The 15,984-nt window shown below is 38.2% G+C and overlaps 1 protein-coding gene and 1 long non-coding RNA gene across 9 annotated transcripts in view; one reads left to right on the forward strand and one right to left on the reverse strand.

The window, feature by feature from the left end:
• Window positions 1–14,555, reverse strand: part of GRM3-AS1 (GRM3 antisense RNA 1) — a 31,953-nt gene extending 17,398 nt beyond the window's left edge. The window contains exons 1-2 of one of the 5 annotated variants that reach the window (XR_007060406.1): window positions 5,739–6,348; window positions 4,306–4,539 (exon numbers count right to left, since the gene is read on the reverse strand). This is a non-coding gene — a long non-coding RNA (GRM3 antisense RNA 1). Of the gene's footprint in view, window positions 1–4,305; window positions 4,540–5,738; window positions 6,352–14,438 lie in introns of those variants that run through there. The other 4 variants (XR_007060408.1, XR_007060410.1, XR_007060409.1 and 1 more) reach the window with 4 other exon arrangements.
• The window catches only part of GRM3 (glutamate metabotropic receptor 3), a 220,971-nt gene that overhangs the window by 144,973 nt on the left and 60,014 nt on the right, over window positions 1–15,984 (forward strand). The window contains exon 4 of one of the 4 annotated variants that reach the window (XM_017012073.3): window positions 4,167–5,102. The exons of the other annotated variants lie outside the window; for them this stretch is intronic. Coding sequence (XP_016867562.1) covers window positions 4,167–4,282 — 116 coding nt within the window. The 3' untranslated portion in view covers window positions 4,283–5,102. Of the gene's footprint in view, window positions 1–4,166; window positions 5,103–15,984 lie in introns of those variants that run through there. 4 annotated transcript variants of the gene reach the window in all.

The following is a 15,984-nucleotide window of genomic DNA, read 5'->3' on the forward strand; positions in this document are numbered from 1 at the left end:
TACAAATATATTCACTCATCAACAGCTAAAATAAAATGAACGCTTAGAATTCAGAGAGCCTTTGCAAGGTGTTTTATGGAACCAAAACATGTTCCTTCATTCCAGTGACTTCTTGGGTCTTAAAAGGCAAAGAAAAGTAAAGAAACAAGCCCATTATTTGGATAAACAAAACAAAAGTATCCTCTTTTTGTCTGTCTTGTTCAATTACTCTTTTCAAGTCTACCGTTCAGTTTGGCTGTGCAAACCTGACCACAAAGTGCTATTTTAGCCTTCTCAATTTGACAGACATTACCAGTCATTCTCCATCTCTGAAGAGAGTAGGAGGGTGAAAAACAGATTTAAACTACATAAAAGAGAGGGAATTTAGACCAGCCACAAGGTAAATATTCTCAGCAGTGAGAATTGGACAAGAAAATACATTACTAAGGGAGGATACCAAAATGCTAAGTTAGCTAACTAGTACATTTAAAAAATAAGTCAAAGAACTAACTATAGTAATAGAATGCAGATTTTAGCTTACAGTAACCTGTATATGACTAAATATATGTATATTTTTAACTTAGAGCTAGGTAAAAGATTATAAGTATGTATGCATTATTACTGCTTTAAGCTTGAGATGCACTATGGAATATTTTTTCCTAGCTATTGAAAAGCAGATTTGTTTTACTTTTTTTCTGAAACAGTATCTTTGTTTTTTCTAACTTGAATATTGTGGCAATAAACTAGGCACAATAGTACACACTTAGCAGACACTAAACAGTCTGTTCAATTAGGCTGAAAAAAGTCTTCTTCTGGCTATTTGCATGTACTCAATACATTTACTCCAAGATTCTTCTGACAAGGGACACTTTTAGCCAATTCCCCAATAGCTCTCATCATTATAGGATTAAAAAACTAGGCCTCCTGTGAATTTAAAAATAGATTAAAATACTCCCTGGTACTCAGATGTGTTCCCACTAGCTAATTCCAGCATTGGTCAACATGGATCTTGTTTGAAGCTAACCCAGTTTAAATATTCCTTTTGCAAAACAGATTTTTAGAGCTATGCCTTGCTAAAGATTCTTCCAAATAGTAATCTCTCCTGGCACAGGAGCTAACCACTGCCCAGGTCTCTAGGCTCATCTCCTGCTGTACACTCCACATTCACTCTTCCTTCCATTAGCACTACTTGCAGTTCCCCAAACATGGCATGCCTCTATTTTTGCCTGCATACTTCCTGTGAATGCTATTTCTTTATCTAGAAGATTCTCTCCCCACCCCCACCTGCCTTATCTGGCATCTTCAGTGATTCCTGTGTCTCTTTGAGATCCAATTTAATTGATAGTTCCTTTAGGAATCATTCCTATACTTCCCAAACTAAGATAAATGCCCCTTCTTATGCCCATATCCATCTGGGATTTTGCCTTCCTTCATACTTTATATCCAATACACCAAAATCTCTTGTTGGCTCTACCTTCAAAATAGATCCAGAATCTGATGACTTATCATCTTCTCAACTGCTACCACCCTGGTCCATACCACCATCTCTAGCCTACATTTCTGTGATAGCCTCCTAGTTGATTTATTCTTACCTACTTCAACCTAGCCTCCACAATCTATTCTCTACATGATAGCCAGGATGCCCTTTTAAAATCTAAGTCAAAGTCCTTCCTCTACTCAGAACCACTTGAGTTCCCTTGTTTCACTCATAGTGAAAGTCAACAGCCTTACAATGTCCTGCACACCACCCTCCCTGCTCTGCCCCTACCTATCCTGACTGCTCTCCTGTCCTCACCTTTTACTCTCCTTCTTTCTCACTTCACTCCAGCCACCCTTGTTTCCAACATTAGGGCTTTTCCACTGCCAGTTCTCTCTGCCTATATTGCCCCTAACCCAGATATTTCTGTGGTTAATCCATTCCCTACTTCTTTCAAATATTCATGTAAATGTTATCTTCTCAATGAGACCTACTCTGGCCATTCTTAACAGTGTAATGCATTACCCCCAACCCCCACTACAGATGCCCCTATTTCCCTTGTACCCTGCTCTACCTTTTGTTTTTTCACCCCATGACATTTTCCCCTTCTGTCATACTACATCATCTATTACTTTCATATTTAGTCTTTATTGTTTGATCCTCACACTAGAATATAAGCTCCACAAAAAACAGAAATCATTATCAATTTTGTTCACAAATGCATCCCAAGCATAAAAGGTGTTCAGTAAGTGTTGATTTTGAATAGCAGTTAACCCAAACTTACGTTTTCTTCTCTACCTTTATTACTAGCTTGTGGGCTCTTTCAAGGCATGGTACATATATTTCATCTCTGATCTCAAATACTCAGCATGGTTTCTGGCATAGAGCAGACATTATGTAAATGTTTACCAAAGGAATGAGAAATTATAAAAGCAAGCAATCAATTTATAATATGATTGCTTTGAAAAAATTTTAATATATAAATTTTGTTCATTAACAAATGAATGTCAAGAAAGGAAAGTGTATGACTTCTAGAGTGGCTTGCTTTTTTACCTAAGTACTCTCTTTTAGTTATATTCTATCATTTCATTTGAGATAAATGTAACCAAATATCATTAAAGCTGGAAGAGACCCATCACTGTTTTATAGATGAATCCCAAGAATTGAAAGTGATTCGCCCAAGATCAGTCAGCTGGTTAGTAACAGGGGCCAGGACTGTTAGCTCGTTAGTAACAGGGGTGAGGTGAAATTCATGTCACCTGACCCAGTGCTGCTTTTGCATGTGCACGAGGACTCTGGGAAATTGATGTATTTGATCCCAAACATCTACCACAGTTTCTGATCCATTCTAAATATTAATGAAATGCTATTGAAGGAATGAAAGATGATCAATAGGTTTATAGTATGTTTCCTTTTTTTATTTCTTTTTAAGATACCTTTAATGCTCCTGGTCTACTTTTTCAGTTGACACAAAGGTGGTTCATCAAACACCCAAACTTTGAACGCTGAGCCTTGGATTCCAAACCTTAGTATATTTAAAAATAAATAAAGTTTCAAATCATTTTTTAATTGTTCAGTAAAATTATTTCCATGTGCAAGAGTTATGTCATCCAGAATCCTAAAGTAAATATTTAAATGAGAATTATGTTTGGTGTCATGTGAATTTTCAAACTTACTTTGAGTAAAATTTCAGAATTTATGATGTAAAAGAAAGCTTAAACTATGCAATACAGTTAAGAAAAAGGAAGTCGAGAGGTCTATGAAACATCTAAAGAAATGGAATATCACTGTGATTGTGTTCACAGTACAGTACATTCTTTCTCACTTTTTATCCTGAGACCAGTTCCAGAAAGTCGAATAGAATAAAATCATAGAGTTACAAAAGGCCTTCCTCAAAGATGAGCTTGCCCCTACTTCTCACTTGACAGAGGTGAAAATTCAGGATGTCAGCATTATTATCTTCACTTACTGAAGCACATAAAAATGAACTCAACTGTCAGAGTGATGTGGTAACTGGAGTATACCCAATTTGAAGGAAAAAAGAAAGAGCTTCCATTTGCTAAGCATAACTGCCAGAAGTGCCCCAAGACACATCCAATGTCACGTAGGCATTATCTCAGGAATAACATTTATGCCATTCCTCTCTGCAATTCTTAGGGTTAGGCTAAACTGTTTGAGAATGGAGAAATTGAGAACTTGACACAAAAGAAAATTCATCCAAGTTCACATAATGAATAGGTGACAGAGTAAATGCCAAGGTCCTGATTTAGTCATTCATTCCACAGATACGTTTAGATGTCATGCTGGGACCTGAGGACCCAACAGTAAACAAGGCAGATGCAGTCCCTGCTTCATAGAGCTTACACAGACATTTAACCACCAAAAACAATTCTAAAGTATAAAAGCATGATTATTATGGCTTACAATGTTAGGGTGTTGCCCTAGGATTTTTGTTCTGCTTTGGTTTGGATTGGGAAATTACTATGTATCTTACACCCAGAAAAGATCTAGGATCCCTGAAGAAATCTTACTCCCAGGGCTTCACTTATATGTGAAGAGGACAATTCCCTGTTACTGATGGACTCATCATAACAGGACTGAATAGTATGTACAGCTAAGCTAAGACAGTTTTCTTTTTTATTTGTTTGCTTGGTTGGCTTAGTTCATTGGTTGGTTGCCTTTTTTTTTTTTTTTTTTTTTTTGCTACCAGTGAAGAGACAGACTACTGGGATCAGAGACCTAGAGCCTGGTGGAGACAGTCCAGCCTTCTTCTTATGTTTACAATTCTCTACACCTGGAAGAGGAGAAGAGGCAGAAAATGGGTAGTCCAGCCTTGCCACCCTACTCACCTCTGTGTCTGATTCATCCAATAGGAACAAGGTTCACTCCTGGTTGGGACTATAATCACAGAGCACAGGCCAGGAAGGGCAGATTTTCTGGGACACTGCACTCCAAGGAATAACGTTTTAGCTGGCCCCAACCCAGCAAGGCTCTCCTCTTGAAAAGTACAGGGCCATCCAAGGCACAGTGAGGAAGCCAAAATGGTAATGGCCACATCTTTAGATGAATGGGCTTTGAAGTCCCTGAAAGAGCAAACTGCTCTTGATCTTGCTTCCTCCCCTGGAACATTTGTAGTTCCCACAAAAGCACAGAAACTTGTTCCAGCTCTGCTGATCAAAAGCATTTCCAAAATGTAAAGATAAATATCCTGTACTTCTTTCTTCCCCCTTCTCTCTGGTCAGCTTCCTGGGGTCATAAGAATAAGATTTTAAACCCCCAAAGGGCACCACTAATGTGGTCACTTATTTGTTTATGCACCGTGCATCTGTGCTTTGGTGTCTTAGAGGCTTGAGAAATGATTCCCATTTTAAGGTCATGCTGTGGAGAACAGGAGCCTCTAGGAAACCTAATTTTCCACTTAGGCTTGTGCTTTCTGCTGCTGCTGCTGCTGCTTGTTATTTTTACTATTATCATTATAGTTGTTATTATTATTGTCATTATTATTTAATAATCCTTAATTTATTATGAGTCATTTATACATCCTGTGAGGCAGAAAAAAGTAATGATCCCCAATGAAGTATGAAAGAAATGGATCATACCACCTTGCTAGTCAGAAAAAATTACAGTAAAAATACTATTTCCTTGATGTTTCCAGACTTTTTTGGATACTGTGGTATGTTTACAGGAATATCACTTGCAAAGGTATCTGGAGATTGGAAAAAAATATTCTAAGTATTTTTTTTTAAATGTAACTAAAATCCTGTTTAAAAATCAGTTTACCTTATCTATGTCCCTTTCAAGATAGCTTGTATTATCCCAACAAGAACATAGTCTTCTAAAGGTTTCTAATCTCTGGAAACTTTGTCATAGTAGAGTTAAAAACATAGTTTTTTCCACTTCTGTATACCTTTATGCTATTACTTATCCTGAGCAGGACACTGAGAAGCCAACATACATAAAGGAACTATTTTCAGTAGGTTCAGAAAAGCTATCAGATTGCTGTACTCACCAGGATAGCAATCACATACTGAAATAGAGGAATGTTCTCTAAAGAACTTCAAACAATTATACTGTTATCCAATGGACCATGAGTGTATGGGAAGCTATCCTAAAGTTGAGTTTAGTAAGCCTTCACAGAAACATAGCAAAATTTTCATAATGCCTGAGCAATGAGCATACATCCTAAAGATTAAGGATGCTGATGTTATACTCTGAGGATCAGGCATTGAGAAGGATGGCTAAAGAACTTGAAAACTAGTCACCATTTTCACCTGCCTCTTACCAAAAGCACTTAGCAGGGGTCCACAATACTTCTTATCACTTTATGTGACATCAGCAGGCAAGGTTAGCTAGTCAGTCTATGTTTCTTCCCTGAACCCCTAGCATGGTTCCTGGGGCTACTGTACCTACACTCCAAACTATGATAATCAAAGGATTCATTCCACTGTCTAAAGTATATTAGAATTTGTTAACGTGGCAGAGTCCTCTGAAGTCATAGTAATAACATTCCAGAATATTCAAAGATTTCATTCTCTTTTGTCTTTAAAAAAAAAAAAAACAATTTTACTAGCACAGAGTTGACCATAACTTAAATTTACAAAATAACATCTCAACCACCAACTACAAAATCATATTCATACACACAAAGCTGCTGGACCAAGTATGATTAGATAGTCTAAGATTGCCATTAATATTAACCTACTACTTGTCCATTCATTCTCCCTAGCACACAAGAAGTAAAGTAACGAAAGTTTCTCAAATGTATGTTTTTTTTTTAAATTAAGGCAGTTTAATGTATTACTTTAACCAGCCACTTTGGAAAAGATGATTATTTCTCTTTTACTTTTAGAGTGGGGTTAACACATACAGAACCGAAGTATAGGAGGATAAGTTAAGAGCCATTGGTCTAGGTTAGTTTTTATTTTATTTTATTTTATTTTATTTTATTTTATTTTATTTTATTTTATTTTATTTTATTTTATGTTCCAGGATACAAGTGCAGAACATACAGGTTTCTTGCACAGGTAAACATGTGCCATGGTGGTTTGCTGCACCTATCAACGCATCATCTAGGTATTAAGCCCCACATACATTAGCTATTGATCCTGGTGTTCTCCCTCCCCCTGCACCCCGACAGGCCCCAGTGTGTGTTCTCATTGTTCAGCTTCCACTTATAACTGAGAACATGTGGTGTTTGGTTTCCTGTTCCTGTGTTAGTTTGCTGAGGACAATGGCTTTCATGTCCATGCAAAGGACATGATCTCGTTCCATTTTTTGGCTGCATAGTATTCCATGGTGTATATGTACCACATTTATTTTTATCCAGTCTGTCATTGATGGGCATTTGGGTTGGTTCCATGTCTTTGCTATAGTGAATAGTGTTGCAATGGACAGAATGATTTACATTTCTTTGGATATATACCCAGTAATGAGATTGCTGGGTCAAATGGTATTTCTGGTTCAAGGTCTTTGAGGAATTGCCACACTGTCTTCCACAATGGTTGATCTAATTTACATTCCCACCAATAGTGTAAAAGCATTCCTATTTCTCCAAAGCCTTGCCACCATCTATTGTTTCTTGACTTTTAAATAATGTTTATTAATAAGTTTAAGTTCCTTGTAGATTCTGGCTTTGTCAGATGAACAGATTGCAAAAATTTTCTCCCGTTCCGTAGGTTGGTTGTTCAGTTGAGAAGTCTCTTTTGCTGTGCAGAATCTCTTTAGTTTAATTAGATCTCATTTGTCAATTTTTGCTTTTGTGGCAATTGCTTTTGATGTTTTAATCATACAATCTTTGCTCATGCCTATGTCCTGAATTGTATTACCTAGTTTTTCTTATAGGGTTTTTATAGTTTTGGGGTTTACATTAAAGTATTTAATCCATCTTGAGTTAATTTTTGTATAAGGTACAAGGAAGGGATCCTATTTTAATTTTCTGCATATGGCTAGCCAGTTTTCCCAGCACCATTTATTAAATAGGGACTCCTTTCCCCATTGCATGTTTTTGTCAGGTTTCTTAAAGATCAGATGATTGTTGATGTGTGGTCTTATTTCTGAGATCTCTATTCTGTTCCATTGGTCCATGTGTCTGTTTTTGTACCTGTACTATGCTGTTTGGGTTACAGTAGCCTTGTTGTATAGTTTGAAGTCAGGTAGCATCATGCTGCCACCTTTGTTTTTTTTGCTTAGGACTCTCTTGGCTATATGGGCTCTGTTGGTTCCATATTAATTTTAAAGTAGTTTCCCTAATTCTGTGAAGAATGTCGATGGTAATTTAGTGGGAAAAGCATTGAATCTATAAATTACTTTGGGCAGTGTGGCCATCTTCACGATACTGATTCTTCCTATCCATGAGCATGGAATGTTTTTTCATTTGTTTGTGTTCTCTCTTATTTCCTTGAGCAGTGGTTTGTAGTTCTCTGATACGGTTTGGCTGTGTCCCCACCCAAATCTCATCTTAAATTATAGCTCTATAATTCTCACATGTCATGGAAGGGACTCAATGGGTGGTAATTGAATCATGGGGGCAGGTCTTTTCCACGCTGTTCTCATGATAGGGAATAAGTCTCATGAGATCTGAAGGTTTTATAAAAGGGCAGATCCCCTGTGAATGTTCTCTTGCCTGCTGCCATGTAAGATATGCCTTTGCTCCTCCTTTGCCTTCTGCCTTGATTGTGAGGCTGCCCCAGCCATGTGGAATTGTGAGTCCATTCAACATCTTTTTCTTTATAATTACCCAGTCTCAGGTATGTCTTTATTAACCGAGTGAAAATGAATTAATACAATAAATTGGTACCAGTAGAGAGGGGTGTTGCTCTAAAGATACCTGAAAATGTGGAAGCGACTTTGGAACTGGGTAACAGGCAGAGGTTGGAACAGTTTGGAGGGCTCAGAAGAAGACAGGAAAATGTGGGAAAGTTTGGAACTTCCTAGAAACTTGTTGAATGGTTTTGACCAAAATGCTGATAGTAATATGGACAATGAAGTCCAGCTTGAATTGGTCTCAGATGGAGATGAGGAACTTGTTGGGAACTGGAGCAAAGGCAACTCTTGTTATGTTTTAGCAAAGAGACTGGCAGCATTTTGTCCCTGCCCAAGAGATTTGTGGAGCTTTGAACTTGAGAGAGATGATTTAGGGTATCTGGCAGAAGAAATTTCTAAGCAGTTCAAAATGTGACTTGGGTGCTGTTAAAGGCATTCAGTTTTATGTACTCACAAAGATATGTATTGGAATTGGAACTTATGTTTAAAAGAGGAGAGCATAAAAATTTGGAAAATTTGCAGCCTGACAATGCAATAAAAAAGAAAAACCCATTTTCTAAAGAGAAGTTCAAGCTGGCTGCATAAATCTGCATAAGGAGTGAGGAGTCAAATGTTAATTGCTAAGACAATTGGGAAAATATCTCCAGGACATGTCAGAGACCTTCACAGAATCCCCTCCCATCCCAACATCCCCTCCCATCACAACTCAGAAGGCCTAGGAGATAAAAAATGATTTCCTGGGCTGGGACCAGGGCCTCAGTGCTTTGTGCAGTCTCAGGACTCGGTGCCTGCATCCCAGCCGTGGCTAAAAGGGGCCAATGTAGAGCTCAGGCCATTGCTTCACAGGGTGCAAGCCCCAAGCCTTGGTGACTTACACATGATGTTGGGCCTGCATGTGCACAGAAGACAATAATTGAGGTTTGGGAACCTCAGCCTGGATTTCAGAGGATGTATGGAAACACCTGGGTGTCCAGGGAGAGGTGTGCTGCAGGGGTGGAGCCTTCATGGAGAACCTCTGCTAGGGCAGTATAGAAGGAAAAAGTGGAGTATGAGCCCCCACACAGATTCCCCATCTGGGGACTGCATAGTGGAGCTGTGAGAAGAGGGCCACCATCCTCCAGACCTGAGGATGGTAGATCTACCTACAGCTTGCACTGTGCACCTGGAAAAGCCGCAGACACTCAACCCAGCCCATGAAAGCAGCCAGGAGGGGAGCTGTACCCTACAAAGCCAGAGGGGTGGAGCTGCCCAAGACCATGGGAACCCACCTCTTGCATGAGCTTGACCTGGATGTGAGACATGGAGTCAAAGGAGACCATTTTGGAGCTTCAAGATTTGACTGCCCTACTGGATTTTGGACTTGCATGGGTCCTGTAGCCCCTTCATTTTGGCCTACTTTTCCCATTTGAAATGGGTGTGTATAACAAATGCCTGTACCCCCATTGTATATAGGAAGTAACTAATGTGCTTTTGATTTTACAGGCTCATAGGCAAAGACACTTGCCTTGTCTCAGATGAGACTTTGACTGTGGACTTTTGAGTTAATGCTGAAATGAGTTAAGACTTTGGGGGACTCTTGGAAATGCATGATTGGTTTTGAAATGTAAGGCCATGAGATTTGGGAGGGGCCAGGAGTGGATTGATATGGTTTGGCTGTGTTCTCACCCAAATCTCATCTTGAATTGTAGCTCCAATAATTCCCACATGTCATGGGTGGGACCCAGTGGGAGGTAATTGAATCATGGGCTGATGGTTTTATAAAGGAGAGTTCCCCTCTTCTTGCCTGACACCACGTTTATGTGACTTTGTGTTCATTCACCTCCTGCCATGATTGAGGCCTACCCAGCCATGTGGAACTCTGAGTCTGTAAACCTCTTTCCTTTATAAATTACCTAGTCTTGGGTATGTCTTTATTAGCAGAGTGAGAGCTGAGAGCAGACCATACATACTCCTTGAAGAGGTCCTTCATTTCCTTTGTTAGCTGTATTCCTAGGTATTTTTTTCTCTTACTAGCAATTGTGAATGGAAGTTCATTCATGATTTGGCTCTCTGCTCATCTATTGTTGGTGTATAGGAATGCTTGTGATTTTTGCACACTGATTTTGTATCCTGAGACTTTGCCAAAGTTGCTTATCAGCTTAAGAAGGTTTTGAGCTGAGACGATGAGGTTTTCTAAAGATCATGGCATCTGCAAACAGAGAAAGTTTGACTTCCTCTCTTCCTATTTGAATACTCTTTATTCCTTTCTCTTGACTAATTGCCCCGGACACAACTTCCAATAATATGTTTGATAGGAGTAGAGAGAGAGGGCATCCTTGTCTTGTGCCAGTTTTCAAAGGGAATGCTTCCAGCTTTTGCCCATTCAGTATGATATTGCCTATGGGTTTGTTATAAGTGTCTCCTATTATTTTGAGGTATGTTCCATCAATACCTAGTTTTTTTTTTTAGAAGGAGTCTCACTCTGTCGCCCAGGCTGGAGTGCAGTGGTGCGATCTCCGCTCACTGCAAGCTCCGCCTCCTGGGTTCACGCCATTCTCCTGCCCTAGCCTCCCGAGTAGCTGGGACTACAGGCGCCCACCACCAAGGCCAGCTAATTCTTTGTATTTTTTTTAGTAGAGACAGGGTTTCACTGTGTTAGCCAGGATGGTCTCGATCTCCTAACCTTGTGATCTGCCTGCCTGGGCCTCCCAAAGTGCTGGGATTACAGGCGTGAGCCACCATGCCTGGCCAATACCTAGTTTGTTGAGAGTTTTTAACGTGAAGGTATGTTGAATTTTATTGAAGGCCTTTTATATGTCTGTTGAGATAATCATGTGTTTTTTGTCTTCAGTATGCTTACTGATTTGTATATGTTGAACCAGGCTTGCATGCCAGAAGATTAAGAAACTCACTCAAAACCACACAACTACATAGAAATTGAACAACCTACTCCTGACTGACTCCTGGGTAAATAATGAAATTAAGGCAGAAATCAAAAAGTTCTTTGAAACCAATGAGAAAAAAGAGACAATGTACCAGAATCTCTGGGATGTAGCTACAGCAGTTTTAAGAGGGAAATTTATAGCACTAAATTCCCACATCAAAAAGCTATGAGGATCTCAAATCAACACCCTAACATTGCAACTAAAAACTAGAGAACCAAGAGCAATCAAACCCCAAAGTTATCAGAAGACAAGAAATAACCAAGATCGGAGAGGAACTGAAGGAGATAGAGACATTTAAAAATACCCTTTACAATATCAATAAATCCAGGAGTTGGTTTTCAGAAAAAAATAATTAAATAGATAGACTGCTGGCTAGACTAATAAAGAAAAGAGAGAAGAATCAAATAGACACAATAAAAAATGATAAAGGGATATCGCCACTGATCCCACAGAAATACAAGCAACCATCAGAGAATACTATAATCACCTCTATGCAAATAAACTAGAAAATATAGAATAAATGGATAAATTCCTGGACACATACATCTTCCCAAGGCTGAACAAGGGAGAAGTTGAATCCCTGAATAGACCAATAACAAGTTCTAAAATTGAGGCAGTAATAAACAGCCTACCCACTAAAGAAAGACTAGAACTAGATATATTTACAGGTGAATTCTACCAGAGGTACAAAGAGGAGCTGGTATTATTTTTTCTGAAACTATTCCAAACAGTTGAAAAGGAAGGACTTCACTCTAACTCATTTTATGAAGCCAGCACATCCTGATACAAAAACCTGGCAGAGATACAGCAAAAATAGAAAACTTCAGGCCAATATCCCTGATGAACATTGATGCAAAAATCCTCAATAAAATATGGCAAACCGAATCCAGCAGCACATCAAAAAGCTTATCTACCACAGTCTAAGTTATTTAAGTTATTTAAATTGCACTTTGAGACAAGATTATACTTTCTACCCCTATAGTAAACAAGTTGGCTAGCAACTAGTCTCATCTTTTATGTTTTACCACGGCAAACTTCTTCTTTTTTTTTTTTTTTTTTTTTTTTGAGACACAGTCTTGCCCTGCCACCCCAACTGGAGTGCAGTGGCATGATCTCAGCTCACTGCAACCTCTGCCTCCCGAGTTCAAGCAATTCTCCTGCCTCAGCGTCTCAAGTAGCTGGGATTACAGGTGCATGCCGCCATGCCCAGCAAATTTTTGTATTTTTAGTCGAGACGGGGTTTCACTATGTTGGCCAGGCTGATCTTGAACTCCTGACCTCATGATCTGCCCACCTCAGCCTCCCAAAGTGCTGGGATTACAGGCGTGAGCCAGTGTGCCCGGCCACCACAGCAAACATCTTACAAGTTTGTTCTTCATGATAAAGCAAAGACAGAATTTGGAATTGAGTGTTTTAGAGCTAGTGCTGCTAGAGAATTTTCCTTTTTAATATGGAGGGGATTTGTGGGCAATGGTGACATATGTACATAGAAAAAAACAACACAATGCTATAATTATGAAACTTTTCAGAGAATCTTTAGTATTCAGTGTGAAACAGTGTCAGGTACTACAACAGATGAGATTAAAAGAGAAAAAAATTCTTTCTGCCATCAAGTATCTTAGCAACTAGTAAGGGCAATAAGAGAGTAACTTTTACAATACACAGCAGTTCATCACTGGCCTCTTAAGAGAGCTATAAGTTGCATAGTATTTAGATACAAAAGAGGGACCATAGTGAGCAGAGGGTCAGAAAAGGCTTCCTAAAAGTTATAATTTTTAGAATACAATCAAGATTTCATTAACAAATTCAGAATTCCTTGGGAAATTAAAAATTAAATTGGAACCGTAAAGTGTTGTTTTGATTTTATAGATTAAATATAAAATGTGTGTTTTAGTCCCCTTGTATAAAAAATATATAAACTTCTCTAAAACCACATTGGTTGTGATCCTTGGTCTATCATTTTCACCCTGAATTTAAGCTAAAACCAATTAAATTTTAATCTGAAAGGAAAAGAAGAAAAAAGAAAACTAGCATTTATTGATTGCCACTGGCCTGACATAACCATTTTGTATATTTTATTCATTAATTCTCACAAAAATCCATCAGGTTGGTAGATATTATTTCCCTCTATTTTATAAGTTTAAATGTGTCTCAAAAGTGTTAAATGTCTTTCTCCAATTTGCAAAACTAAGTGGCTTTGGAGATTTGGAGACCCAAGTCTATCTGTTTCCTACTCACACATTATTTTCCGCTCCTGCTTCCTAAAAAGAAAAGAAAAAAAAACAAGGTTTGTATTTAGAAAAAGGATGCAGTCTCATTGTCATTTGGCTCAGCTTACCTATGTGCATTCACAGTAATAATAAAATATTGTTTCCAAATCTGAATAATATAAGAAGGTATTTGTTAACTCATTAGTTGTTATAATGTAATTGTTATAATGATGTCTTTAATAAAGAATGACTCATAGGAAAGGCCTCCAACTACATACTTCACTCCTTCCTCTGAGAGCATCAGATTGCGCCAGATCAATATTTGCAATATCATACTGTTATTTCTGAGAATCAATAGTAAATTGAAAAAAAAAAAACGTAATCAGGCTACAGATCACCATGTCTTCAATGCTGTTGAAGACTACATTTCTCTTCCCTATCACACCATTCTCTCACTCTAATTACAAACCTCCATATATTTAATTAAAAGTAAATTGGTTGAAGAAATGAGAAAAATACTGGGTCTGAAACCCTTCTAGGTTTCCATCCAAGACCATGATAGTTTTGTGGGTTTGTTTAATGTGTTTAAAAGCTTTTCCTGTTGAATTCATGTTATTAAGGGGTGGTAGTAGTAGTTGTTTTATAGCACACATCACAAATCAAGTTAAAAATTTTAAATGCAATTAATACCTTCATAAGTTAGAGCATCTTCAGAGTTTTCTATCACAAAGTTTTGTTTACAGGCTATTCAGTCACCAATAATCACATTTTAGCAATATACCACTTTCTTAGGGTACTTAACAAAATCTTTATCTCTAAAATGCTTATAGTCTAATAAAACCTTCAACCATGATTTCTCAATTGTAATAAAAGTAGAAAACAAAGAGAATTTATCATTTCTCAGTCATCAAAAAGCAAGCCTTTAGATAAAGAAGACATTTATATCTTCATTTCTATTCACTATGTGTAATCTTCAGCAATATTTTAAACAACAGATATACAAACAAAATATATCTAAATGTAAAGCCAACATCCAGAGATGAGTTCCTTATCTTTTGCCTACCTCAATTCACCCTTAAAACTTACCCTGTTATGAATCCTTCCTCAATTTGAATCCTTTCTTTTCAGTAGAGAAATTTGTCACATTCCTTTTCTGCCTTTTTCTGTTGCAAGGGTCTTTTAAGGCTGAATTAATCCAATGGCTAAACTGTAGAAAAGAAAAAGGAAAGTATACTTTGTTTTCTTTTTCTTGGGAGCATGATCTCATGGTTTTATTTAAAATATTGTAGCAATATTTAGGATGCTGATAGACACTTTTAGAAATAAAGTAAGAGTAATTAATTTGACAGCAAAACTAGGAAAACCAGAGGCTGCCCTCCCAGCCTTCTACTTTTTGCTGCCACTTACAGTTTAAGTTTAAGTCATCCAAGTTACTTGGCTAAGGATTGAATTAACTAGCATGATTCCCTGAGTGCAGGCACAGCCCTTTTTTCGCATCCCAAGCCCCAGTGTGGCAAGAGGTGTTTGTTTGTTTGTTTGTTTGTTTTTCCCTCATGTTTGATGGCCCACCACAAAAGCTCACTCAGTCATGAAGCTAAAATAAAGAAATTGTCAAAAGTTCAGAATCCTGAAATTTTAGTAATCGTTGTGAAGATGTATGTCAGTTAACGCTTTATCATTTTTAAATTGCTTTTGATCACAGTCATTTGATCCTTACCACAATCCCGTGAAGGTGGTCAAGCAGATATTATTATTTACCATTTTATAGATGAGAATATAGAGAATGAGGTGGAGTGACTCAACTACGGTCAAAGAAAAAGAACCCCTCCTGGAGTAGAATTCACATTCTTGGATCATTGCACAGTGATATGTTCCTTCAGCTTGCAATGTTATAGGCAGTAAAATGATTGTTATCTCATAATGCATAAAAATTGCACTGGAGGCAAAACCAGTCTCCAGTTATGATTGTCACTGGAGATTCTTGAGAGAATATTGCCATGAATAAGAGTAAGAGACACTGAACCAGTAAAGATCATATTCATTCTAGATCTGCCACTGCATGGCTCAGTGGATTAGGGCAAATCTCATCGACAACCCAAGATTCATCTGCTAATATTTCAGAAGCACAACCCATATGCTGAGTACCAAATATTAATAGAATTATCAGATATGGTATTTTTATTTTTATTTCTTGAGATGGAGTCTTGCTCTTGTCGCCCAGGCTGGAGTACAATGGCGCAATCTCGGCTCACTGCAACCTCCACCTCCCGGGTTCAAGCAATTCTCCAGCCTCAGCCTCCTGAGTAGCTGGGATCACAGCTGCCCATCACCACGTCCAGCTAACTTTTTGTATTTTTAATAGAGACGGGGTTTCACCATGTTGGCCAGGCTGGTCTCGAACTCCTGATCTCAGATGATCCGCCCGCCTTGGCCTCCCAAAGTGCTGGGATTATAGGTGTGAACCACTGCACCTGGCCCAGATATGATATTTTTGTCCTTGCTTTTCATATGACAGGTGCTTCTGTTTCTGGGGAAAAATAGAGCGGATTTCTATTAGTGATAATAGGATATCCTTCTGCATTTAAAGAGGATGGTAGGTATGAGTGTGGTGGCTCATGCCTATAATCCCAAT

The sequence above is a fragment of the Homo sapiens genome, chromosome 7 (genome assembly GCF_000001405.40).
Source record: "Homo sapiens chromosome 7, GRCh38.p14 Primary Assembly".
Classification (NCBI taxonomy): Eukaryota; Metazoa; Chordata; class Mammalia; order Primates; family Hominidae; genus Homo; species Homo sapiens.